The sequence below is a fragment of the Homo sapiens genome, chromosome 19 (genome assembly GCF_000001405.40).
Source record: "Homo sapiens chromosome 19, GRCh38.p14 Primary Assembly".
Lineage (NCBI taxonomy): Eukaryota > Metazoa > Chordata > Mammalia > Primates > Hominidae > Homo > Homo sapiens.
The window spans coordinates 57,820,380-57,847,597 of NC_000019.10; the positions used below are offsets into that span (position 1 = coordinate 57,820,380).

Genomic DNA, 27,218 nt, shown 5'->3' on the forward strand with positions numbered 1-27,218 from the left:
ACTGATTGACCCAGATTACCGGTCTGTGTGTTGTCAGCTGATCCATCCAGTGTAGGATCTCCAAAATACCTCAAGCACTGATCTTAGCTTTTACAATTGTTATGTTATCTTCAGGAGCAACTTGGCGAGGTTCAGACTCTTGGAGCCAGAAGCTACATGACCCCTAAACGGTAATTTCTAATCTTATAGCTAAACTGTTAGTCCTGCAAAGGCAGGCTGGTCCCCAGGCAAGAAGGGAGTCTTTTCAGGAAAGGGCTGTTATCAATTTTGTTTCAGAGTGAAACCATGAACTGAATTCCTTCCCTAAGTTAATTCAGCCTGTGCCCAGGAATGAACAAGGACAGCTTAAAGGTTAAAAGCAAGATGGAGTCGGTTAGGTCTGATTTCTTTCACTGTCATAATTTCCTCAGTTATAATTTTGCAAAGACGGTTTCACCTGTGTTTGACATCAGTGCGATGCGGTGGGGAGAGCAACAGGCACAGGGAGGGGCCTAGGCGATGGTCTGGAGATGGAGGCAGCTGGGAGGATGGAACCTGGGGTCCACAGGCACCTGTCGGGAACAAAGTTTGAGGCAGAGCTACTCCTGGAAGAGCACACAGGCTGAGGGCTGTGCATTCATCATGAGGACACTAGAAGCCATGGAGAGTTTTGAAGAAAGGAGGGACATGATCCAAATCCAGGCTTTTAAGATTTCCCAAAGGCCAATCAAAGGAAGAACATTGTAGAGAGAGAGGATGAGGACTTTGGGGCCTTGGGAGGTTGAATCCTTTTTGTAGCTCACATAGGTGGTAGAGATGACATTTTGCACTGAGACAAGCAGGTCAGACAACCAGCCTGAGTGCCACCTGGCTCCAGGGACAAGAAAGGGTTCAGGGAGGCCTGAGCTTATCAAATCCCGTGACATGTTTGTAATGTCTGCCTCTCCCCTCAGGCACTCCTGGCTGCAGAAGCACTTAGGGAACCCACACAGGAAAGTGGAGGGTGTTCAATCCCCTCATTGGTCCTGACGCCATCTACAGGTTCTCTAGCTTGTGGTGTCCTGGGACTCTTAAGTGCCATTTTTTTCAGTCCTTTGATCCGAGGACCCTGGAGAATCTCTGAAGCCAGGATACCAAGTCCATGACAGGTTATATGGAGGTATTCCCATTTCTGTCAACCAATGTAAACACCCTTGTAAGATTAACCCAGGATTTGCTACCAGGTTGTGAAATGCTTAGAGATAAAACGGATCAAAGTCAGGAGGTGATATTACCACAGTTCTACCTGGCTACAGGCTTCATCTGGTTGGACCTTGTTGCATAGACTGTGGGTTGAGGGAAGAGGAAGAAAGGTCAGAGATAAGGCTCCTGCCATAATCTAGGTGAGGCTTAATGGATCAGATATGTGGTAAATCACATGGGTCTGGATTCAGGATTCACTTTTTGTAAAAAGACAGCTAGGTTTTCTTTCTTTCTTTCTTTCTTTTTTTTTGAGACGCAGTTTCGGTCTTGTCACCCAGGCTGGAGTGCAATGGCATGATCTCTGCTCACTGGAACCTCCGCCTCCCGGGTTCAAGTGATTCTCTTGCCTCAGCCTTCCGAGCAGTTGGGATTCCAGGCATGAACCACCACACTTGGCTAATTTTTGTATTTTTAGTAGAGACGAGGTTTCACCATGTCGGCCAGGCTGGTCTCGAACTCCTGACCTCAGGTGATTCACCTGCCTCGGCCTCCCAAAGTGCTGGGATTACAGGCATGAGACACCGTACCTGGCAGACAGCTAGGTTTTCTCTCTCTCTCTTTTTTTTTTTTTTTTGAGACGGAGTTTGCTTTTGTTGCCCAGGCTGGAGTGCAATGGCGTGATCTCAGCTCACCGCAACTTCCGTCACCCAGGTTCAAGTGATTCTCCTGCCTCAGCCTCCCCAGTAGCTGGGATTACAGGCATGCACCACCACCCTGGCTAATTTTGTATTTTTAGTAGAGATGGGGTTTCTCCATGTTGGTTAGGCTGGTCTTGAACTCCCGACCTCAGGTGATCCGCACGCCTCAGCCTCCCAAAGTGCTGGGATTACAGGTGTGAGCCACCGTGCCCGGCCGACAGCTAGGTTTTCTAATGTGGGTGATAAGAGCATGAAAGAGGAATTGGGCATGAGCCCAAGGTTTTTGATCTTTGCAGCTGTAACCATGGACGCTGCATCTGCTGACATGAAGTTGGTATTGACAACAATATTCACTGTGGATAGCAAGAGGGTTGTTTTGGCCATATGAAGAATCAGAGACCAATAAGTGGTGGCATCAAATGGATAACTAGACATACAGGATGGGATATCTGGGAGGGTGTTGATAATGGAGACATCCAATATATGAAAGCTAATGAGCGAACTACAGTAAGTTAGTTATGGGTCCATTTAGGAGGACATGCTTCAGATTTTGGTGGTAAATCTTTTCAGGGGCCAGGAAGGTGTGACTACAGGCTGAGGAGTGGATCTCTTACTTACGTCCCTGAGTGATGTTATTGGGCTTCCTAAACACCTGAGAGGGTGTGAGTGACCATCATGGCAGGATGTATCAGACAGTAGAGTTTGGAAGGGGACATAGACATCCGAGGAGAGAATAGACGAGATAGATGCATGCAGAAGCATAGGAGTAATTCAGGGAAGATGACACTTAGGCCTGAGTTGGTGCCAAAGTTGTAACTATTTATCACTGTCTGGACTCACAAACGTTTTGAGATGACTTTGGGAGTGCCTGGGGAGTTTCATTCAGCCTGGTGCATATGGGCAGTGAAAAATATGCTCATCTGTGATAGTAGATGTGGTTTGGTTCACAAATCCAGGGGCTGGGCTTTAAACGGCATTAGGTGGACAGAGGAGGGTTGCTACAGCTGAGGTCTCAGCTGGTGCAGCACAGAAGTGGAATAGGGCCATGGATATCTAAAGCCATATGTGGTTCTGTGTGGCTATGGAGTCATTCCGGGAGACATTCACAGGATGATTTGGGATTACCACTGCTATTGTAAACCATGGAAATTCTGTGTTAATATTGGATGCTATTTGTATTTGTCAAGCATAGTCTGGATGTTTATCCACATTTTGGTATAAGGCCAGAATTGAAGGCCCAATATGATGTGTCACTTTGACATCTTGTGATAGTGGGACAACCTTAAAAGGTGTGAGCACAAATCTCATCTCATTCCCACTCTGCTCTCTTGAATAATGTATCCTAGCCTAACAACCCTTTTTATCAAGGCAATGAGGCAGGGTTCCTCTGGGGGAAAGAAAGAGAGATCAGACTGTTACTGTGTCTATGTAGAAAAAGGAAGACATAAGAAACTCCATTTTGACCTGTACTAAGAAAAATTATTCTGCCTTGAGATGCTGTTAATCTGTAACCCTAGCCCCAACCCTGTGCTCACAGAAATGTGCTGTATTGACTCAAGGTTTAATGGAGTTAGGGCTGTGCAGGATGTGCCTTTGTAAACATGTGTTTGCAGGCAGTATGCTTGGTAAAAGTCATCGCCATTCTCCAGTCTCGGGTACCCAGGGACACAATGCACTGCGGAAGGCCGCAGGGACCTCTGCCTGAGAAAGCCTGGGTATTGTCCAAGGTCTCCCCCAACTGAGACAGCCTGAGATGTGGCCTCATGGGAAAGGAAAGATCTTACTGTTCCCCCAGCCTGACACCTGTAAAGGGTCTGTGCTGAGGAGGATTAGTGAAAGAGGAAGGCCTCTTTGCAGTTGAGATAAGGGAAGGCACCTGTCTCCTGCTCATCCCTGGGCAACAGAATGTCTCAGTGTAAAACCCAATTGTATATTCCATCTACTGAGATAGGAGAAAACCGCCTTAGGGCTGGAGGTGAGACATGCTGGAGGCAATACTGCTCTTTAATGCATTGAGATGTTTATGTATCTGCACATCAAAAGCACAGCACTTTTTTCTTTACCTTGTTTATGATGCAGAGACATTTGTTCACAGGTTTTCCTGCTGACCCTCTTGCCTCTATTACCCTGTTGTCCTGCCACATCCCCCTCTCCGAGATGGTAGAGATAATGATCAATAAATACCGAGGGAACTCAGAGACCAGTGCCATCAGGGTTCCTCCGTATACTGAGCCCCGGTCCCCTGGGCCCACTTTTCTTTCTCTATACTTTGTCTCTGTCTCTTATTTCTTTTCTCAGCCTCTCATCCCACCTGATGAGAAATGCCCACAGGTGTGGAGGGGCAGGCCACCCCTTCACTCTCTCAGTTATTTTTATTACACCAGTAATTTCCTCATTGTGTTGAATCTTACAGTGGCTTATAAATCGATATGTACCTAGAAATGTTTAGCCAGTTCATGTATATTTGATGTATCACATTTTTTCCTTTGAATCACATACTCTAAAAGAAGTAACTTCCTCTTACTAACCTCTGCTTTTCCTAAGTGATGAATTAATCCTCTTTAGATAATTACAATTCTCTTTTCAACACTTAGCAAGAACTAATCTATAAAGAAGCACTATAAATCTATAAAGAACTTTCCCACCCGGGCACAGTGGCTTTGGTTCAACGCTTCTCCACCTTTTGGCTAAGATCAAGTGTGAGATGGAGTTTCGCTCTCATTGCCCCATCTGGAGTGCAATGGTGAAGTCTCAGCTCACTGCAACCTCCGCCTCCCGGGTTCCAGTGATTATCCTGCCTCAGCCTCCGGAGTAGCTGGGATTACAGGTGCCTGCCACCACACCTGGCTACTTTTTAATATTTTTAGTAGAGACAGGGTTTCACCGTGTTGGTCAGGCTGGTCTTGAACTCCTGACCTCAGGTGATCCACCTGCCTAGGCCTCCCAAAGTGCTGGGATTACAGGCATGAGCCAGTGTGTCCGGCCCCCAGCATCATTTTCTTCAGAGAATATTCGAGGAATCTTTTTATGGCTTGGCTTCCTTTTTTTTTTTTTTTTTTTTTAATTTGAGATGGAGTTTCGCTCCTGTTGCCCAGGCTGGAGTGCAATCAATGGCACGATCTCGGCCCACCACAACCTCTGCCTCCCAGTTCAAGCAATTCTGCCTCAGCCTCCCGAGTAGCTGGGATTACAGGCATGCACAATCATGCCCGGCTAATTTTGTATTTTTAGTAGAGACCAGGTTTCTCCATGTTGATCAGGCTAGTCACGAACGCCCAACCTCAGGTGATCCACCCACCTTGGCTTCCCAAAGTGCTGAGATTACAGGCGTGAGCCACCGTGCCCGGCAATGGCTGGGCTTTCATTGGGTGTGAAGTCTACAAACAGCATCTTCAATTTAAACTGTCAGTTAAAGTTCTTAAGATTTAGGAAATGATGGAGCTTGGAAAGTTATGAGATTACAAAATTCCGGAAAGTCCATTAGAAAAACCACAGGATGGAAAAAAAAATAAGCCAGGCAACAAAGCTTCAGAGGTCCCTGCTGGCCCAGGGAGAGATACCTGCAGTGTCCAGCATCTCAGTGAACATGATCTACTTTCAAAGGCAGGGGCTTAAAGCGAGGGAAGGGGGGGAACTGGTGGAAGCAAAGGCTCTCCCCATCACCACCTTGGTTTTAGGTAGGGATTTTAATTTAACTGAAGGACATCTCTCAACTTGGACAATAATTAATCCCTCAACAGCACCTCATATCTGCTATGACTTTGCAGCGCAGCAGAAAGAATGTTTAGTATCTAATAGATAAAAATTTCATCGAAAAAATTAAAATATTCTTGCAACACCCCCCCAACACCAATTCCTATTCTAAAGTGAATCTATCACTTGTGCTGTTGATACTTGACCATGTACTTAATTGGAAACCTAGATGCAAAAGACTGAAACTGAATCTTCACCCCAAAATGAAAACAAAATAAAATGAGTAACTTGAGGTTTATGGCATATAGTTTAGGTAAACACACACACAAGGAGAAGGGGGAAGAGGAAATGGAAGGTGTCGGAAGCAAAGCTGAGTGACAGAACACATTCAGTCAGGGCAGATGTCTATACAGAGTGTAGTGGAACCTCAGGAAAAGCTTCATATGGATTCATGCGCACGCGTCTGGAGGCACCAGATCCCTCCATGGCAGATCCAAGAACAGGGAGCTGAGGGAGAAGGCCATTCCCTTCATTCCAGTTTTAGGAGCTCCACATCGAAGACGAGAGTGGCGTGTGGTGGGATGATGCCTGGGTGCCCAGTGGCACCGTAGGCAGAATCTGGAGATATAGTCAGTTGGGCTGTCTGACCCACACTCATCTAAGCAACCCTTTCTTCCCAGCCTCGGATCACCTCCTGCTAAAAATTAAGGGGCTTGTTTCTGTCCCGGGAGGAATCAAATTTCTTTCCATCTTCAAGCATCCCGGTGTAGTGCACCACGCAGGTCTGGCCGTGCCTCGGGAAGGTGCACTCCTCTCCTGGGGAGATGGTTTCCACCTGCACTCCCATGGCGGCGGCCGATGCTGGGTGGGCGGGTAGCGCGACGGGCGGTGTGGACCAACAGCGACCTGGCGGCGGTTCCACAGCTCTGGCTAGACCCTTGGCTTTTATTTATTTATTTATTTATTTATTTTTTGATACAGAGCCTCTCTTTGTCACCCAGGCTGGAGTGCAGTGGCACGATCTTGGCTCACAGCAACCTCTGCCTCCCGGATTCAAGCGATTCTCCTGCCTCAGCCTCCCCAGTAGCTGGGATTCATGCCCAGCTAATTTTTGTATTTTTAGTAGAGACGGGGTTTCACCATGTTGGCCAGGATAGTCTGTAGCTCTTAACCTCGTGATCCCCTCACCTCTGCCCAGAGTGCTGGGGTTACAGGCGTGAGCCACTGGGCCCGGACTTTTTTTTTTTTTTTGGCCAGGCGCGGTGGCTCACACCTGTAATCCCAGCACTTTGGGAGGGCGAGGCGGGCGGATCACGAGGTCAGGAGATCGAGACCATCCTGACTAACATGGTGAAACCCTGTCTCTACTAAAAATACAAAAAATTAGCCGGGCGTGGTGGCGGGCACCTGTAGTCCCAGCTACTCGGGAGGGTGAGGCAGGAGAATGGCGTGAACCCAGGAGGTGGAGCTTGCAGTGAGCCGAGATCATGCCACTGCACTCCAGCCTGGGCGACAGAGCAAGACTCAAATCAAAAAAAAGAAAAATCGACCCCTGACCTAATCAGTAATGTTATACAGATTACAAACATTATATAGAAAAGCATTGTGAAAATCCCTGTCCTGTTCTGTTCCGTTCTAATTACCAGTGCATGCAGCCCCCAGTCATGTACCCCCTGCTTGCTCAATCGATCACGACCCTCTCACACAGACCCCCTTAGAGTTGTGAGCCCGTAAAAGGTACGAGAATTGCTCACCTGGGGAGCTCAGTTGTTGGAGATGTGAGTCTTGCCGAAGCTCCCAGCTGAATAAAGCCCTTCCTTCTTTAACTCGGTGTCTGAGGGGTTTAGTCTGCAGCTTGTCCTGCTATACCTACGATTTCATCTCCAACCCAACCAATCAGGACTGCCCACTTCATGGCCCCCTATCTACCAAATTATCCTTAAAAAACCCCAGTCTCATGAGGTGGAGGTTGCAGTGAACCGAGATCATGACCTTGCACTCCAGCCTGGGCAACAGGAGCAAAACTCCATCTCAAAAAAACAAACAAACAAATAAACAACAACAAAAAAACCCAGTCTCCAAGTTTTCAGGAAGACTGATTTGAGTAATATTAATAAGACTCCAGTCTGCTGTTCATCCAACTCTGTGTGAATCAAACTCTTTCTTTTACAATTCTCCTGTCCTGATAAATTGGCTCTATCTGGGCAGTGGGCAAAATGAACCCGCTGGGTGTTTACACATTCATTTTAACAATACAATAATGGTTATTAACCTTTGCATTAATCTCTGCTTCCAGTGGAAGAATTTTGCATCAAAGGACCACTTGAAATGATAGGTGAATTTAGATCTATAGCCTTTGGGAGCACCTACACTAACTCTGAAATAATATTTTTCCATACACTAGGGTAATCAGCTACAGCTAATAATTGCAAGAAATCTCAATAGGAGTTTTAAGGAAAGGCAGGATGATCCTCTGCCCAGTAGAAAGATCTGCAATCTTTTATTTATTTATTTATTTAATTTTATTTTTTTCCAATACAGAGTCTTGCTCTGTCGCCCAGGCTAGAGTGCAGTGGCACAATCTCAGCTCACCGCAACCTCTGACTCCTGGGTTCAGGAGATTCTCCTGCCTCAGCCTCCTGAGTAGCTGGGATTATATGCATATGCCATCATGCCAAGCTAATTTTTGTATTTTTAGTAGAGGCGGGGTTTCACCATGTTGGCCAGACTGGACTTGAACTCCTGACCTCAGGTGATCCACCCGCCTCAGCCTCCCAAAGTGCTGGGATTACAGGCGTGAGCCACCCACACCCAGCCCTTATTTTTATTTTTTAGAGAAGAGGTCTTGCTCTGTTGCCCAGGCTGGAGTGCAGTGGCACGATCTCGGCTTACCGCAGCTTCAAACTCCTGAGCTCAAGCGATTCTCCCTCCTTCAGGCTCCCTAACCCTAACCCCAACCTTGGGGCAGCTGGGACCACTGGCCTGCCTGACCTCACCCCACTAATATTTTTTATTTTTTGCAGAGACAGGATATGGGGAAAAGAAATCAGATTGTTACTGTGTCTATGTAGAAAAGGAAGCCATAAGAAACTCCATTTTGATCTGTATTAAGAAAAATTGTTCTGCTTTGAGATGCTGTTAATCTGTAACTTTAGCCCCAACCCTGTGCTCACAGAAACGTACTGTATTGAATCAAGGTTTAATGGATTTAGGGCTGTGCAGCATGTGCCTTGTTAACAATATGTTTGCAGGCAGTATGCTTGGTAAAAGTCATCGCCATTCTCCATTCTCTATTAACCAGGGACACAATGCACTGCGGAAAGCTGCAGGGACCTCTGCCTGAGAAAGCCTGGGTATTGTCCAAGGTTTCCCCCACTGAGACAGCCTGAGATATGGCCTCATGGGAAAGGAAAGACCTTACATCCCCCAGCCGGACACCCTTAAAGGGTCTGTGCTGAGGAGGAGGAGTGAAAGAGGGAGGCCTCTTTGCAGTTGAGATAAGAGTAAGGCTTCTGTCTCCTGCTCATTCCTGGGAATGGAATGTCATGGTGTAAAGCCAACCATTCCCATTCGTTGTATTCTGAAATAGGAGAAAACTACCCTGTGGCTAGAAGCGAGATATGCTGGCAGCAATACTGCTCTGTTGCTCTTTGCTACACTGAGATGTTTGTTTAAAGTGAAACATAAATCTGGCCTATGTGCACATCCACGCACAGTACCTTTCATTGAACTTATTCATGATACAGATTCCTTTGCTCACGTGTTTCCCTGCTGACCTTCTCCCCACCATCACCCTGTTGCCCTGCCACACTCCCCTCACCAAGAGAGTAAAAATAATGATCAATAAATACTGAGGGAACTCAGAGACCGGCGCCGGTGAAGGTCCTCACATGCTGAATGTGCCAGTCCCCTGGGCCCACTATTCTTTCTCTATACTTTTTCTCTGTGTCTAATTTCTTTTCTCAGTCTCTCGTCTCCACCTGATGAGAGATACCCATAGGTATGGAGGGGCAGGCCCCCTTCAAACAGGATTTTGCTTTGTTGCTCAGGCTAATCTCTAACTCTTGGCCTCAAATGATCCTTCTGACTTGGCCTCCCAAACTGGTGGAATTACAGGAGCTAGCCACCATACCAGTCAGGGCGCATATCTTAAGGATACTCCTGAGGTGGAGCTGGGCTTTTCCTGCAGAACCGCCTCTGGGAATTGTGCCCTTTACCCTCCTTGTTACCTAGGGAACTACATTACCCAGAAAACTCCGCATGGAATGACAGAGTGGAAGAGCCATGGGGGCTCAGAATAAAGGCATTTCCTGTGTGCACGTGACAATGGGTCCGGACTTCCGGCGCCCTCTGGTGGCGGCCATTTTGATTGGTGTTGGGTTTATTTGTCGGAGAGGCTCCTGAGCGCTAGGTCGGCACTGCGGTGACTGAACCCAGAAGGCGGAGAACAGTTGTCCTCTGCTGCACAGAGGCGACTCTGGAGCTCTGTGACGGCGCCAAGCGTGACCCACCCCTGGGCCAGGATAGGGACCGTCATGCCCATATCTCCTGGCTGGTCACCCTCTCCTCCCAACCCTGCTTTAAACCACGTGGTTCGATGGCGGTGGTGGCCACGCTGAGGCTCTCTGCTCAGGTAATTGTGGTGCCTTCCATGCCCTCAGGTCACCTCATCATCACCCAAAAGCCTGTAGTCTTGCAAGGAAGAGTCTTTAAGGTGGCAGAGCCATAGGCAGCAGATGCTGAGTTTTTATTAGGAGTGACTGTCAGGACAGCCCTTTTGAGCTGCTGAAGGCCTAATCTTTTATAGTCACTGTACCTGAGCGAGTTAGAGAAAACGCCACACTTTGAGACGAATTAAGAGTCCGTTTATTTAAAAAAAAATCCGTTTATTTAGCCGGCGGCCAAGAGATGGGTAACGCTCAAAGTTCTCGCGGCCCCAAAGAAGGGGCTAGATTTTCTTTTATACTTTGGTTTAGAAAGGGGAGGGGGGGTCTAGTTAAAACAATTTTACAGAAGTAAAGTAGGCAAGAAAAGTTAAAAGGATAAATGGTTACAGGAAAGTAAACAGTTCCAGGTGCAGGGGCTTTAAGACTATTAGAAGGTGATAGATGGGGGGCTTTGGGCGTTATCAATCAGACGAATTCCTGGGAACTGCGGATATAGCTCGCCACAGTATCTTATCAGTTAATTGCATTCTTGGATGTGCTGGGAGTCAGCTTGCACAAGTTAAGTCCTTGAGGAAGGGGCTGCCAGTGAAAGAGCCAAGATGGAGTCTGTCTGGCTCTCTTATGTAAGGGAGAGTCAATTCAGGTGGAAACAAGTCTAGGTGATTAAAGGAAAGGGAGAATCTAAAAACAGGGTTAGTAAAAACAAGGTTGGGCATTACATCACAGAATCCTCTAGTGAGAACTGATAGTGGAACAGTGTGCTCGTTGGTGACCTTACCTCGTTAGATGCAGTCTTTATTTTTTATTTTTTTGAGACGGAGTTTCACTCTTGTTGCCCAGGCTGGATGCAATGGCGTGATCTCGGCTCACCGCAATCTCCGCCTCCTGGGTTCAAGCGATTCTCCTGCCTCAGCCTCCCGAGTAGGTGTCATTACAGGCATGCGCCACTGCACCTGGCTAATTTTTTGTATGTTTAGTAGAGATGGAGTTTCTCCATGTAGGTCAGGCTGGTCTCGAACACCTGATCTCAGGTGATTCACCTGCCTCGGCCTCCCAAAGTGCTGGGGTTACAGGCGCGAGCCACCGAGCCCAGCTTATTTTATTTATTTATTTTTTTTTTTTTTGAGACAGAGTCTCAGTCTGTCACCCAGCCTGGAGTACAGTGGCGTGATCTCGGCTCACTGCAACCTCCGCCTGCCGGGTTCAAGCGATTCTCCTGCTTCAGCCTCCCAAGTAGCTGGGATTACAGACACCCGCCACCATGCCCGGCTAATTTTTTGTATTTTTAGTAGAGACGGGGTTTCGCCATGTTGCCTAGCCTGGTTTCGAACTCCCGAGCTCAGGCAATACGCTCGCCTCGGCCTCCGAAAGTGCTGGGATTACAGACGTGAGCCACCGTGCCTGGCTGTCTTTATTTTTTTATTTGTTTACTAAACAAAACATCTTACCCTTTATAGCAGAGTGCCCTGTGAAATACAAATTGTCTTTTTCTTTTTGTTTTTTTTTGAGACAGAGTCTCGCTCTATCGCCCAGACTGGAGCGCAGTGGCACGATCTCGGCTCACTGCAAGCTCCACCTCCCGGGTTCATGCCATTCTCCTGCCTCAGCCTCCCGAGTAGCTGGGACTACAGGCATGCACTACTATGCCCGGCTTATTTTTGCATTTGTAGTAGAGACGGGGTTCCGCCATGTTGGCCAGAATGGTCTCAATCTCTTGACATTGTGATCCGCCCGCCTTGGCCTCCCAAAGTGTTGGGATTACAGGCGTGAGCCACTGTGCCCGGCCAATTCTATTTAATTATTTTAATTTCTTTGCTGAATTTATCTGATAGAATTCTGAATTTTTTCTCCGTGTTTGTCTTGAATTTCTTTGAATTTCCTCAAAATAGCTATCTTGAATTATCTGTCTGAAAGGTCACGTATCTCTGTTTCTCCAGGATTCGTCTTTGGTGCTTTATTTAGTTTGTTTGGTGAGGTCACGTTTTCCTGGATGGTGTTGATGCTTGTAGATATTCGTCAGTGTCTGGGCATTAAACAGTTAGGTGTTTATTGTGGTCTTCACAGTCTGGGCTCATTTGTACCTGTCCTTCTTAGGAAGAGTTTCCAGGTATTTGAAAGGACCCGGGTGTTGTGATCTAAGCTGAATCTACTTTAGCGGGAACCCCACACTCAGTAATGCTGTGACTCTTGCAGACTCAGAGAGCTGTACCACCTTTGTGGTCTTGAATAAGATCTGAAAGATTTCCCTTGATTAACATAACAGGTAGAGACTCTTGTTGGGTCTTCCCTCACTTTGTCCCAGCATGTCTCTGTCAGTGCTGAAGTGCCTGAAACTGGGGGTTGGGACAGAAGCACCCCTTTAGCTACCACCACTGGGACTGTGCTGGGTGAGAGCTGAAGCCAGCACAGCACTGGGTTTCACCCAAGGCTCCTGTGACCACTACATGGCTATCGCCTGTGTTCCCTCAAGGCCCTAGCCCTGTACAGTCAGCAGGTGGCAAAGCCAGACAGGCTTATGTCCTTCTCCTTAGGACGGTGAGTTCCCCAGGCCTCAGGTTGGTATACAGATGCCATCCATGAGCCAGGGATTGGAGTAAAAATCCTTAGAAATCTACCTGGTGTTCCTTTGCACTGCAGCTGAGCTGGCACTCAAACTACAAGCTAGAGCCCTTCCCACTCTTCCATCCCCTTTCCACAGGCAGAGCAGCCTCACTCTGTGGCCACCACCAGCACGGGCCCACAGGGAGTGCTGTCAGACTACCACTGAGGTTCCATTAAGGGCTAAGAGCTCTTCAGTCAGCTTGTGGTGAATGTTGCCTGGTCTGAGGCTGACTCTTCAAGACTCACCCAGGGCAGGTCCAGCAATGTCATCCACGAGCCAAGGCCTGGAATCAGGGACCCCAAGAGGCTTCTTGGTGCTCTATCCCTCTGTGGTTGAGCTGGCAGCTGAGGTGCAAGACAAGGTCCCCTTTACTTTTTCCTCTGTTATTCTCAAGCAGGTGGGGTCTCTGACCGTAACCACCACAGCTGGCAGTGTGCTGTGTTACATCTGAAGCTGGCATGTCTCAGAGTCTCACCCAGTGCCATCGCATACTACCTGGGTACTGCTGCTAGTTATTCAGGGTCCAAGGGTTGTTTAGTCAGAAGGTGATGGGTCCTCCCATGACTGAATTCTTCCCTTCAAGGCAGCAGGTTCTGTTTTGGTCCAGAGTGTGTCTAGAAATATTATCTGGGTGGGCCTGGAATGGGTCCTCACAACCCTGCCCAGTGCCCTATCCTGTGGCTGAGGTGACATCCAAAATGCAAGACAAAGTTCTTTTTGCTGTTCCCTCTCCTCTCCTCGAGTGGAAGGAAGGAGCCACGTAGCCTGGGGTTGCATGAGGGGTGGCACAAGCACACCCTTAGCTACCTCAACTGGTGTCTCAGTAGGTTGTGCTCCCCCAACCCAACCAGGTCCCCTGGCTCGGAGCCCAGCTCAGCACAGCACATGCCTAGGGGTTGCAGTCCTTGTGGCCTCGACCGCCTTTCAAGTTTATTTAGGACTTCAGAGCCCTCCAGCCCACAGTGGCAAGGCTTGCCAGATCTCAAGTCCTGACCATTGGGGTGGGCGATTCCCCTCTGGCTGGGCTGGTCGCTATGCTTACTCCCTGGGTAGGCGTCCGTTGAGTTCAGCCCAGTTTTGCTTTCTGCTATGACAGGGAAGCACTGAGTTCTGTGCAACGTCTGACAGTCACTGCGCTTTCCCTTCCCAGGAGCACAGATTCTCCACAACAGGCAGGCACTGCTGGGGGATGGGGAGGAGTGGCATTGGCAACTCAAGACTCTACAGCCCCTTTTAGTGCCATTTCCAGTAATACAAAATTAAATCCAGGTACTGTGAGTGCTCATTTGATTTTTGGTTCTTACAAAGGTGATTTTTTTCTGTGTTGATAGTGTTTAAATTTGGTGTTCTGGGCCGGGTGTGGTGGCTCACGCCTGTAATCCCAGCACTTTGGGAGGCTGAGGCAGGCGGATCAACTGAAGTCAGGAATTTGAGACCAGCCTGGCCAACATGGCAAAACCGTGTCTCTACTAAAAATACAAAAATTAGTCGAGTGTGGTGGCAGGTGCCTGTAATCCCAGCTACTTGGGAGGCTGAGGCAGGGAGAATTAGGGAGAATTGCTTGAACCCCGGAGGCAGAGGTTGCAGTGAGCCAAGGTAGCACTACTGGACTCCAGCCCTGGTGACAGAGCGAGACTCTCTCTTAAAAAAAAAAAAGAAAAAAAAAAGGTGTTCTGTTAAGGGTATGATGGGTGCAGCTTTCTATTCCACCATCCTGCTCTGTTGCACCTCTCGAGCTCAGTCCTTTCAACCGGAAACACTAGAGAAACCCTAAAGCCTAGGCCCTAAGTCCATAACGCAGGTGGTATGGAGGTATTCCCATTTCAGTGAAACTGTGTAAACACTTAGAAGGTCAGCCTTGGATTTGGTAGCAGTATGTGAAATGCTCAGAGATAAAACTGATCAGAGTGGGGAGGTGATGTTACTTCTCTGCCTGGCTCCACATTGGAGAAAGGAACATGGGGTTAAGGGAGGAGGAAGGAAGACAGCGTTGAGGCTCATTCTGTCATCCAGGTGAGGTTTAATGGATGATTGTTGGCCAAGGAGATGTCGCTAGAATTGTGATTTACATTTGGTAAAGGAGCAGCTAGATTTTCTAATGCGGTCGGTAAGGACATGCAAGAGGGTTTCAGGTATGACGCTGGGGGTTTTTTGTTTTTGCTTTTTTTTTTTTTTTAGGTGGAGTCTTGTTCTGTCACCAGGCTGGAGTGCAGTAGCATGATCTCTGCTCACTGCAACCTCTGCCTCCCAGGTTCAAGCAATTCTCCTGCCTCAGCCTCCTGAGTAGCTGGGACCACAGGAGGCACACGGCATCACGCCCGGCTAATTTTTGTAATTTTAGTAGAGACAGAGTTTTTCACCGTATTGGTCAGGCTGGTCTTGAACTCCTGACCTCAGGTGATCCACCCACCTCAGCCTTCCAAAGTGCTGGGATTACAGACTCGAGCCACCGTGCCTGGCAACCCTAGGGGTTTTGGCCTTAGCAGCAGCAGTGATAGAAGCTGTATCAGCTGAGATGAGCAAGTTGGGAGTAGGCATAATACAGTCACTGGGAATATAAGGAGGGTTGTTTTCACCATGCTCAGACCCTGAGATGCTTGTCCACATAGGTCGGGATATCTGGGAAGGAATTGATATTGGAGACATCCAGTATATGATAGCTAATGTGTGGACTAAGGTGCGTTAGCCATGGGTCCCATTTTGGAGGGCACACTTCATAATAAGGTAGTAAATCTTTTAGGGAACCAGAAAGGACTGATTGGAGGCTGAGGACTAGATGTTTTGCCTGGGTCCCTGGCGGACATTATTGGCATTCATAACCTGTGTTATGCATTCACACAGGAGAGGGAGGTAAGTGACAATGAATGTAGGGTGTATCAGAGGGCATAGCTTGTCGTGGGGCAGACTTCCATGGAGATAATAGAGATGAGATGCAGGCAGAAGTACAGAAGTAATTGAGGGAAAGGTCATCATTGCTGAGGGGCTGGCAAGTGTAGCACAGAAGTAGAATAGGGTCATGGATAGCTGAAGCCACACATGGTTCTGTGTTTCTGTGGAGCCATGCAAGGAGGTCCTCACAGAATTACTTGAGACCACCGCTCCTTTTAGGATCCAATAGAATTGCAATTCTGTGGTAATATTGGATCGGTTTGAATGGGCCATACACTCTGGATGGTGTCAGCTACGATGTAGTGTAAGGCCAAAAATTAAGGCCCAGTGTGATTTGCCACCTGGATGCCTGGTCATATTGGTATGACCACAAATGGCTGAGTGCAAGTTTCTTTCCCATTTAACTCTCTTTTTATATATTTAAAATTTTTTCTCTCGTGTATGTATGTAGAAACATGGTCTTGCCTTGTCGTCCAGGCTGTTCTTGAACTCCTACGATCAAGCAGTGCTTCCACTTCGACCTCTCAGAGTGCTGGGATTACAGGTGTGAGACACCATGACTGGCCACTTCACTCTCTTAAGTAATATATCTGAACGGGTGCAGTGCCTCATGCCTATAATCCTAGCACTTTAGGAGGCCGAGATGGGTGGATCATTTGACATCAGGAGTTTGAAACCAGCCTGCCCAATATGGTGAAAGACCATCTCTACTAAAAATACAAAAATTAACCAGGCATGGTGGTACACTCATGTAATCCCAGCTACTGAGGAGCTGAGGCAAGAGAATTGCTTGAACCCAGGAGGCGGAGGTTGCAGTGAGCTGAGATTGCACCACCCCGCTCCAGCCTGGGTGACAGTGAGACTCCGTCATAAAAAAAAAAAAAAAAAAAAAGGAATGTATCCTAGCCTCTGAAGCCTTTCGATCAATGAATGGGACCAGGCAGAGTTCCTGTTATAGTTTGTAGTGAGTTTCAATTCCATTTTTATCTCCAGAGTTATTCAAATAAGTCAATGGCATCCTCCTGAGGGAATCAGGCCATTACACTCTCTTCATCTTACAAAGCTTGCATGCCATGGCCGTGGTTGCTCTCTTTTATCCACAATCCAACCCCCATGTGGCTCTTTGTGGTGAGTGGTGTCCCTCTTATCAGGCTGTTAATATATGTGATACCTTTTTTTTTTTTGAGGCACAATTTTGCTTTTGTTGCCCAGGCTGGAGTGCAATGGCGCGATCTTGACTCACTGCAACCTTCGCCTCCCTGGTTCAAGTGATTCTCCTGCCTCAACCTCCTGAGTAGCTGGGATCACAGGTGCCCACCACCACGCTCAGCTAGTTTTTTTTTTGTTTTGTTTTTTTTTTTTGGTTTGGTTTTGTTTGAGATGGAGTCTCGCTCTGTAGCCCAGGCTGGAGTGCAGTGGTGCTATTTCGGCTCACTGCAAGCTCCGCCTCCCAGGTTCACGCCATTCTCCTGCCTCAGCCTCCCAAGTATCTGGGACTACAGGTGCCCGCCACAACACCCAGCTAATTTTTTGTATTTTTAGTAGAGACGGGGTTTCACCGTGTTAGGCAGGATGGTCTCGATCTCCTGACCTCGTCATCTGCCCGTCTCAGCCTCCCAAAGTGCTGGGATTACAGGCATGAGCCACGCCCCCGGCCTAGTTTTTTTGTATTTTTAGTAGAGACGCAGTTTCACTATATTGGCCAGGCTGGTCTCAAACTCCTGACCTCAGGCGATCCACCCGGCTCAGCCTCCTAAAGCACTGGTACTACAGGTGCGAGCCACCACGCCTGGCTCAATACATTTGATTTGGAAACTGCTCTTGACGACATCTGTAGAATATCAGATGTCATTTGTTTTACCAAAAATGTAACCCTAGGGGGAGATTTCAACCCACACTAGTAGAAGACAAAGGAGGAAATTAAGATACTTTAAGTTGGCTGGACACAGTGCCTCATGCCTGTAGTCCCAGCACTTTGGGAAGCTGAGGTGGGTGGATCACAAAGTCAGGAGTTCGAGACCAGCCTGGCCAACATGGTGAAATCCTATCTCTACTAAAAATACATAAATTAGCCAGGTGTGGTGGTGCACACCTGTAATCCCAGCTGTTCAGGAGGCTGAGGCAGGAGAATCCTCAGGAGAACCCAGGAGGCAGAGGTTGCAGTGAGTCTAGATCGTGTCATTGCACTCCGTCTCAAAAAAAAATAAAAAAAAAAAGATACTTTAAATTGTGGCCGGGCACAGTGGCTCAAGCCTGTAATCCCAGTACTTTGGGAGGCCGAGGCAGATGGATCATGAGGTTAAGAGATCAAGACCATCCTGGCCAACATGATGAAACCCCGTCTCTACTAAAAATATAAAAATTAGCCAGATGTGGTGGCGGGTGCCTGTAGCCCCAGCTACTTAGGAGGCTGAGGCAGAAGAATTGCTGGAACCCAGGAGGCAGAGGTTGCAGTGAGCCGAGATTGTGCCACTGCACTCCAGCCTGGCAGCAGAGGGAGACTCCATCTCAAACAAACAAACAAACAAAAAAAGATACTTTAAGTTGTTTAAAGGCCAGAGAGAGGCCAGTGGTGTGTGGCAGTCAGCTGGGGATGGACATGGAATGTACCTGGAAGTCTAAAGAATGAGGTGCGTTCAGAGAGGGTATCTCTGCTGTGCTGAAGGTGCCACATTGGGCTTCCCATGACCTCGGCCATACTAGGGAAAGTGCCTGTCAGGAGTGGGTGGACTTTATGTCACAGCCACTGCACAGATACCTATTTGTTCAACTAACTATTGTTGGTGGCTGTACCCCATGACCAGTGGGCCTAGTTTCTCCTATGTTTGAGGACCTTGAGAGGAGGATGTGCGAGAGTAGATGTGTGGGAGAGATGGATTGTGATACCTCAGCATAGGGGTGGTTTGTGGTTTCATCTGTCAACATCATAACAGGGCACAGTGACTTTTGAAGACGTGGCTGTGAAATTTACCCAGGAGGAATGGAATCTCCTTAGTGAGGCTCAGAGATGCCTGTACCGTGATGTGACTCTGGAGAACCTGGCACTTATGTCCTCCCTGGGTAAGTTGCTCACACTCACCCTGTGACTTGAGCTAGTCTCTGTTTTCCCCTGTCTTTCCCCATTGGCAAGACTTTCTCATGTCAGGAGCATGGACACAGCTTCCTGCTTCAGTTCTATGGGTAGGTTCTTGGTTGTAGGACTGAGGTGTACATACTGCCCTACTCCTTTCTTGGAGCAGCCCCAGCACCTGCTTTACTGCAGGCTCCCAGGGAGGGATTCCCAGTCAGAAGCCCACCTTGTTAGTCCTGTGGATGTTTGGGTGTCCTTGTCCAGATTTCAGGTTCCTGTGTACCCACAGTCTACTTCCTTTCTCTAGCTGCTATTTTCTTATGCCTTCCTGTGGCAGGAATTGCCTTCACAGACTACATCACTGCCTATATAGACCAGAGGCTGTTCTTGCAAGATCTTCTTTAGAAATTCTCCTTCAAATACTCAGTTTTTTTCTCTCATGGGCTGAGTTGTTCTGAGACAATGTTGGCTGTTCCCTTGTTCTGTCTTTCCCTTAGTCTGTGCATCATTCATGTCCCATGTATTTGGTCATCATTGTGGTGGGAGGCACAGTCCTCCATTTGATCCAGAAGATGCAAATGAATTCAGCCTCAGCATAATAGGCTCAGAAGGAGTGAGTCCCTAAAGAGTGGCACCCTGGGCTGGGGATGGTGGCTCGCTCCTGTAATCCCAGCACTTTGGGAGGCCCTGGCAGGTGGATCATAAGGTCAGGAGTTCAAGACCAGCCTGGCCAAGATGGTGAAACCCTGTCTCTACTAAATATAAAAAAATCACTCGAGCATGATGGCATGTGCCTGTAGTCCCAGCGACTCAGGAGGCTGAGGCAGAGAACTGCTTGAACCCAGGAGGCAGAGGTGGTGAGCCCAGATCACGCCACTGCACTCCAGCCTGGGCAACAGAGCGAGACTCTGTCTCCAAAAAAAAAAAAAAAAAAAAAAAAAAAAAAAAAAAAAGCAGCACCCTGGAGGAGGTCATGGAGTCAGGGCTTTATTGAAAGCATACCAGGAACCTATTCTACTTTAGTAGCATTTTTGTGGCAAGAGAAGTAGGCACACATAATTTGTCTTTTCTTCCTCATTCTTGAGAACATCACACTTGTCACTTGTCTATCTTATCATTTCTACTCCTTTTTTTAAGCTTTGACCTACTTGTACATGAACTCGTACCCTAATATCCATTCTCCTATCTAATCTTCACATCTCTGGACCCCAAATCTCATCCATTTTACATATGTCACCATTTGCGTGTTCTCCAGTATTTGCATAGAGATTTGTGTTAGCAAGTATATACGCTTTGTTACAAACTGTCCTCAAGCAGAAGCTGCTGTGTTGTGCTTGTGTTTTCCTTGGCCTGGACAAATCCCTCTCTACAGCACTCACATGTCATGAGGACATAAATTCTGCAGATGAGTGGTTTGCAGATGCAGGGATTGTAGACCCTGCCTCTACTCCCTGTGTTACATACATGGTTGTGTCCTTTAACTTATGAGGCCTCCTACATTCTGTGACCGTTATAGTCCAGTAATAATACATAGCACCATCTTCCATCTGAAGCCAACATCCTGTTCCTCCAAGTAGTTCCTTGGAGTAATTCCTCAGTTTTTCACATACACTTGTGGGTGGTCTGTGCCTTCCCACCAGAGTTAACATGCACTTCACCAGCATTTTCTTGCTTTCAGGTTGTTGGTGTGGAGTGGAAGATGAGGCGGCACCTTCTAAGCAGAGTATTTATATACAAAGAGAGACTCAGGTCAGGACTCCTGTGACAGGTGTGTCTCCCAAGAAGGCCCACCCCTGTGAGATGTGTGGCCCGATCTTGGGAGACATTTTGCATGTGGCAGATCATCAGGGAACACATCACAAGCAGAAACTGCACAGGTGTGAGGCCTGGGGGAATAAATTGTATGACAGTGGAAACTTTCATCAGCACCAGAATGAGCACATTGGAGAGAAACCCTACAGAGGGAGTGTTGAGGAGGCGTTGTTTGTGAAGAGGTGTAAGTTGCATGTGTCAGGGGAGTCATCTGTCTTCAGTGAGAGTGGGAAGGACTTTTTGCCCAGGTCAGGATTACTCCAGCAGGAGGCCAGTCACACTGGGGAGAAGTCAAACAGCAAAACTGAGTGTGTGTCTCCCTTTCAGTGTGGGGGAGCTCACTATAGCCATGGAGATTCCATGAAACATTTTAGCACCAAACATATACTCAGTCAGCACCAGAGACTTCTCCCTCGAGAAGAATGTTATGTGTGCTGTGAATGTGGGAAATCCTTTAGCAAATATGTTAGCTTCAGTAATCATCAGAGAGTTCACAGTGGAAAAAGACCTTATGAATGTGGAGAATGTGAGAAATCTTTTAGTCAAAAGAGCAGCCTCATTCAACATCAGCAATTTCACACTGGAGGAAAACCTTATGGGTGTGAAGAATGTGGGAAATATTTTAGCTTAGAAGGATATCTTAGGCGCCATCAAAAAGTTCACGCTGGAAAAGGGCCTTATGAGTGTGGAGAATGTGGGAAATCTTTTAGTTCAAACGTGAACCTTAAGAGTCATCAGCGCATTCACACTGGAGAGAGACCTTACAAGTGTGGAGAATGTGAGAAATCTTTTAGTCGGAAGCCCAGCCTTAGTTACCATCAGCGCATTCACACTGAAGTAAGACCTTACAAGTGTGGAGAATGTGGGAAATCTTATATTTCAAAGGGGCACCTTAGGATCCATCAGCGCATGCACACTGGAGAAAGACCTTACAAGTGTGGAGACTGTGGGAAATCTTTTAATGAAAAAGGACACCTTAGGAGTCATCAGCGAGTTCACACTACAGAAAGACCTTATAAGTGTGGGGAATGTGGGAAATGTTTTAGTCACAAGGGTAACCTCATTCTACACCAGCATGGCCATACTAGAAAAAGGCCTTATATGTGTTGGGAATGTGGAAAATTATTTAAGAAGAAGTCTCACCTCCTTGTACACCAGAGAATTCACAGTGGAGAGAAGCCATATGCTTGTGAGGCTTGTCAGAAATTTTTTAGGCACAAGTGCCACCTCACTGCACACCAGAGAGTTCACACTGGAGAAAGGCCATATGAATGCAGTGATTGTGGGAAGTCATTTACCCACAGCTGTGCATTCATTGTTCATAAGAGAGTTCACACTGGTCAGAAGCCTTATGAGTGCAGTGAATGTGGGAAATCTTTTGCTGCAAGCTCCTATCTCACTAGTCACAGGAGAGTTCACACTGGTCAGAAGCCTTATGAGTGCAGTGAATGTGGGAAATCTTTTGCTGGAATCTCCAGTCTCACTAATCACAGGAGAGTTCACACTGGAGAAAAGCCTTATGGGTGTAGTGAATGTGAAAAAAAATTTAGGAAAAGCTCTTCACTTCGTTACCATCAGAGAGTTCATGAAAGAAAGGCCTTATGAGTGCAGAGAATGAGTCCAGTCTCATTAAATACAGGAGAGCACACACCTGAGTAAGATCTTGTGATTGCAGCAAATGTGGAAAATGTTTACCCAAAAGAAGTCTGCTCTCCTTGGACATTGGAGAGTTCACACCAGAGAAAAGTCCTTACAAGTAAAATAAATTTGGCAGTTTTGTAGCCACACCTCTGTATTCCTTCAGGATTATATTTAACACTGAATGAAGGCCTTACTAGTGTGGCAAATATAGGCTATTTATCCAGAAGTCTGGCTTCAAAACTCACAGGAGAGCTGTCACTACGGAAATGCCTTTTGAATGTAATGTTTGCAAAAAAGCACTGTGCCTTCTGTCATTGAATCCTAGAACACTGAGATGAGAAAAACACTGTAGATGTATAGGTTAGATATATAGGGAATGTTATTATTTTTTCCTTTTTTTGGAGAGACGGTCTCACTCCATCACCCATGCTGGTGTGCAGTGCTGCGATCGTAGCTCACTGCATCCTCCGCCCCCTAGGCTCAAGTGATCTTCCCACCTTAGCCTCCATGTAGCTGGGTCCACAGGCATGCACCACCATGCCTGGCTATTTTCTCATATTAGTAGATATAGGGTTTTACCATGTTTCCAGGCTGGTATCGAACTCCTGAGCTCAAGCAATCTGTACACCTCAGCCTCCCAAAGTGCTGAGATTGTAGGTTTGAGTCACTGTGCTCAGCCAATTATGTTTTTCTGTGTAACATGGGAGGAGATCCTTTGAGGGCACCATGTGCCCAAATTGAAAAAACTCCAGGCATGTGGCATCTGTATTATATTTTTTACTATGCCCTGTTATCTTGCTAGACTTATGTGACTGCCACTTATCTGGCAAAAGCCATTACATCTCAGCTACTTGGTAGGTACCCACATTGCATCATTCACCTATTTCGTATTCTAGAAGTATATTTTGGTTGTCTCCCATTCACGAGAGATTTTTTTTTTAAGTTTTTTGTTTGGTTGGTTGGTTGGTTGGTTGGTTGTTTTTTTTTGTTTTTTTTTTTTTTTTTTTTGGAGACAAAGTTTCACTGTCACCGATACTGGAGTGCAGTGGTGTGATCCTGGTTCATTGCAACCTCTGCCTCCTGAGTTCAAGCAATTCTCCTTTCTCAGCCTCCTGAGTAGCTGGGATTACAGGTGCCTGCCACCACACCCAGGTAATTTTTGTACTTTTAGTAGAGATGGGGTTTCACTATGTTGGTCAAACTGATCTTGAACTCCTAACCTCGTGATCCACCTGCCTTGGCCTCCCAAAGTGCTGGGATTACAGTGTGAGCCTCTGCTTCTGGCCTTTTTAAAAATTTTTTAAATTTATATTTTTTGTAGAGACAGGGTCTTGCTGTGTTGCACAGTCTGGTCTCAAACTGCTGGTCTCGAGTGATCCTTCTGCCTGGCTTCCCAGAATGTTGGGATTATAGGCGTGGCATAAGTCACCATGCTGGGACTTTTTTATTTCTTTAATTTTTAATTCCAGATCTGGTCACAGAAGGATTTGTTGAGTAGCCTCAGCACTTCTTGCTTTTTCATTTCTTTCTGATAAGTTACACCATGGACCTTCCCCATTTTTGTCCCAGAGGACTCTTGTGCTGACTTGAAAAGATGGACTATTTTGGCTAAGCATGGTGGCTCATGCCTGTAATCCCAACACTTTGGGAGGCCGAGGTGGGTGGATCACAAGGACAGGAAGGAGTTCAAGACCAGCCTGGGCAATATAGTGAAATCCTGTCTCTTCTAAAAATATAAAAATTAGCCGGGCATGGTGGCGCACCTGTAGCCGCAGCTACTCAGGAGGCTGAGGCAGGAAAATTGCTTGAACCCCGGGAGGTAGAGGTTGCAGTGAGCTGAGATCATGCCACTGCACTCCAGCCTGGGTCCTGCTACCTTGAAGGACAGCATAGCTAAACTGCGTGGCCCAAGGGACAGCATGAATGCAGAATATAGCTTTCTTCACTTGTGGCCTATTTGCATAGCTGCCCAAGGCCTCCAGTGGACGACTTCATGGCTTTGTGGTCTTCATCTGTAGCATGGATACTACAGATTGTGGGTTCATAGGTCAGCTGGGTACAGGGCAGTTTTTATAACAACCTCTGGTGGGTTTTTTATTTTAGTGTCAATATCACACTGAAAGATTGGTGATTTTTTTTGAACCAGACAAAATTCTCTCTTATGAGGTATATTGCACTGTGCTCGGTACTGTTGAGGGAACTCTGTTCAGCAGATCTTACAAGGCACACATGTGCCATGATATCCAGAATTCTGTAAGGCAACATCACAGGTTGTAAGGCTATAGGATGAAATTATAATTTTATGGTTACTTAGTTACTGCATTTATAGTCAGCAGAGGGGACAGCAATAAAGTTTTTGAAATATATCTTTTTTTTTTTTTTGAGACACAGTCTCACTCTGTCACCCAGGCTAGAGTGCTGTTGCACCATCTCGGCTCACTGCAACCTGTGCCTTCTGGGTTCAAGCGATTCTCCCACCTCAGTCACCCAAGTAGCTAGAATTACAGGTGCATGCCACCACACCACTAATGTTTTGTGGTTTTAGTAGAGACGGGTTTCACCGTGTTGCACAGACTGGTCTTGAATTCAACTCTTGAGCTCAGGTGATCTGCTCACCTCCGCCTTCCAAAGTGCTGGGACTACAGGTGTGGGCCGCTGTGTTTGGCTGAAATGTATGTCTTTTAAAGGAGTGTCCACAGTTATCCAGTCACTGTGTCTGTGATGGATAAGCAGATACAGAAATTCTCAAGACTTCCATAATAATGAATGTTGTGTAGCTAAGCTTTGGTCAGAGGAAATAATCTAAAGGTTTTGTGAATTCATGTAACCTTTTGGGCTGCTCACCTTAAGGTAACTCCTGTATTAACAGGAGGAACAGAATAGGGAAAAAGATCTCAGTTCAGTGATGTAGCTTTGTGACCAGCCAGTGATCCAGTTCAATCAGGTAGAAATGACCTTCCTGCTACATCAATATTTGCTTCTATGGAGGCTAGTTTCCCCACTTAGGGCATGAGAAGAATTGGTAAAGTCAACATAAAATTGCCAAACCTGTCACCAAAAATGATGGCAAATCTGTATTTTTCTCTTAAACCGTGTTATAAAAGCTGTAATAAGGTATAGGCTGAGCATCATGGCTCATGCCTGTATTCCCAGCACTTTGGGAGGCCAGATTCCTTGAGACCAGTGTGGGGAACATGGCAAAACCTTGTCTCTAGGAAAAATAGCCAGGTATGGTGGCATGTACCTTAGTCTTAGTGATGTGGGAGGATTGCTTGAGCCTGGGAGGCAGAAGTTGCAGTGAGCTAAGATTGCAACGCTGCAGTCCAGCCTGGGTGATAGAGTGAGACCCCATCTTAAAAATAAAATAAAGATATAAATGACATCCAATAAAGTACACATATTTGAGCTGTAGGATAAGTCTTGAATTTTATTATAATCCCGTGAAACCATCATCAGAGTCACCATAATGAATTTATCTAATCTATCACCTTTGTATTTACTTGGAGCCTTTATAAAGTTTTTCTCTCTGCTCTTCAAACAACCATTGATTTACTTTGCTGTATGATGGAGTACTTTCCATTTTCTGGAATTTTCTGACTGATGTAATAAAGTGTTTCCTCTTATAATCCCTGGGTGCTCTCCTGCATCATGCTTATTTTGATGTCATTGTAGATATATGAGTTGTTCATTCGTTTTATGTTGCTGAGAAGTATAGTCTGCCGTGAAATGTCATTGTATATTCATTCATTCATCCATCCATTTATGGATATTTTAGTTGCTGCATACTTTTTTTTTTTTTTTTTTTCAAGACTCTCTACCAGGTTGGAGTGCAGTGGTGTGATTTTGGCTCATTGCAACCTCCACCTCCCAGGTTCAAGTGAGTCTCCCACCTCAGCCTCCCACGTAGCTGGGATTACATGCGTAAGCCATCATGCCCAGCTGTTTTTTGTATTTTTAGTAGAGATGGGGTTTCACTGTGTTACCGGGTTCATCTCAAACTCTGGGCCTCAAGTGATCTGCCTGCATTGGCCTACAAAAGTGCTCAGATTACAGGCCTGAGCCATGAGCCACCGCACCTGTAATTGATTCTGAGGCCAGGCACGATGGCTCACGCCTATAATCCCAGCACTTTGGGAAGCGCAGGTGGGTGGATCACTTGAGGTCAGGAGTTTGAGACCAGGCTGGCCAACATGGTGAATCCCCATCTGTACTAAAAATACAGAAATTAGCCAGGCATGGTGGCGCATGCCTGTAATCCCAGCTACTCACTCAGGAGGCTGAGGCAGGAGAATCACTTGAACCCAGGAGGCAGAGGTTACAGTGAGCTGAGATCACACCACTGCACTCCAGCCTGCGCAACAGAGTGAGACTCTGTTTCAAAAAAGAAAAAAAAAAATTTATTCTGAGATAATCCCAGTTCCCAGTGTGAAACTATTCCTGCAGTCACTGGAAAATAATAACCACTTTCTTGTAAGGAGATGAAATTTTGGAGCTCAGATGCCGTGTTTATATTGTTATTCAGATGGCCTTTTTAACCTGTGCTTTAATGGTGAAAGTTGTAGCGACTGATGTGTGTACCACAATGGCATTGGCTAAGTTGCTCGTCCTTTGAGATAGATGTCAATGTGATTAAAGAAATTGAGTACACCTTAGCATATGAATTAAGAAACATATTGACATAGTGATCCTCATAGTGACATAGATCAGCAGGACTTGTGTTCTGAGCACTGGTCATGACCCTGCTCATGATGAAACAGGATCTGGTCAAAACAGGATGCACTAAAGAAACCAGCTGAAAGCAGTAAAACTAAGATGGCAAGAATATGAACTCTAGTTACCCTCATTGCCTCACTGCTCATTATATGCTCATTATAATGTATTAGCATGCTAAAAGACACTCCCACCAGCACCATGGCCGTTTACAAATGCTATGGCAATGCCCAGAAGCTACCTCATGTAGTTTAAAAGAGAAGGAACCCCTGGTT

At 46.6% G+C, this 27,218-nt stretch overlaps 1 protein-coding gene and 1 pseudogene across 3 annotated transcripts, besides 1 other annotated feature; one reads left to right on the forward strand and one right to left on the reverse strand.

The window, feature by feature from the left end:
• Positions 1,786-2,286: an enhancer, noted in NCBI's record as "H3K4me1 hESC enhancer chr19:58333533-58334033 (GRCh37/hg19 assembly coordinates)". NCBI's record gives its function as "activates a minimal SCP1, AML or CMV promoter by ChIP-STARR-seq in primed H9 embryonic stem cells {active_cell/tissue: H9 hESC(primed)}" and the evidence as "EXISTENCE:reporter gene assay evidence [ECO:0000049][PMID:30033119]".
• FKBP1AP1 (FKBP prolyl isomerase 1A pseudogene 1) lies at positions 4,901-7,083 on the reverse strand (annotated as a pseudogene). Its single transcript, NR_024162.1, has 2 exons — positions 7,058-7,083; positions 4,901-6,536 (listed from the first exon to the last, which is right to left on the reverse strand). The product of NR_024162.1 is annotated as an FKBP prolyl isomerase 1A pseudogene 1 (transcript).
• Positions 7,084-9,919: 2,836 nt separating this feature from the next.
• ZNF587B (zinc finger protein 587B) lies at positions 9,920-25,859 on the forward strand. 2 transcript variants are annotated; one of them, NM_001204818.2, is made up of 4 exons: positions 9,920-10,185; positions 18,644-18,770; positions 20,459-21,417; positions 23,877-25,859. In NM_001204818.2, the coding sequence occupies exons 1-4, from the start codon at positions 10,150-10,152 to the stop codon at positions 23,961-23,963; spliced, it is 1,209 nt and encodes a 402-aa protein (NP_001191747.1). In that variant the 5' UTR covers positions 9,920-10,149; the 3' UTR covers positions 23,964-25,859. The 2 variants fall into 2 exon arrangements, with proteins under 2 accessions (NP_001191747.1, NP_001363152.1); NM_001376223.1 differs by having other exon boundaries at positions 20,459-25,859.
• The last annotated feature ends 1,359 nt before the right edge of the window (positions 25,860-27,218 follow it).

Bases quoted from the DNA above. Each gene is read 5' to 3' on its own strand.
- ZNF587B (NM_001376223.1), top strand. From the start codon at position 10,150: ATGGCGGTGGTGGCCACGCTGAGGCTCTCTGCTCAG. The intron at 10,186-18,643 runs GTAATTGTGGTG...ACATCATAACAG, and splicing joins CGCTGAGGCTCTCTGCTCAG to GGCACAGTGACTTTTGAAGA. The intron at 18,771-20,458 runs GTAAGTTGCTCA...TCTTGCTTTCAG, and splicing joins GGCACTTATGTCCTCCCTGG to GTTGTTGGTGTGGAGTGGAA.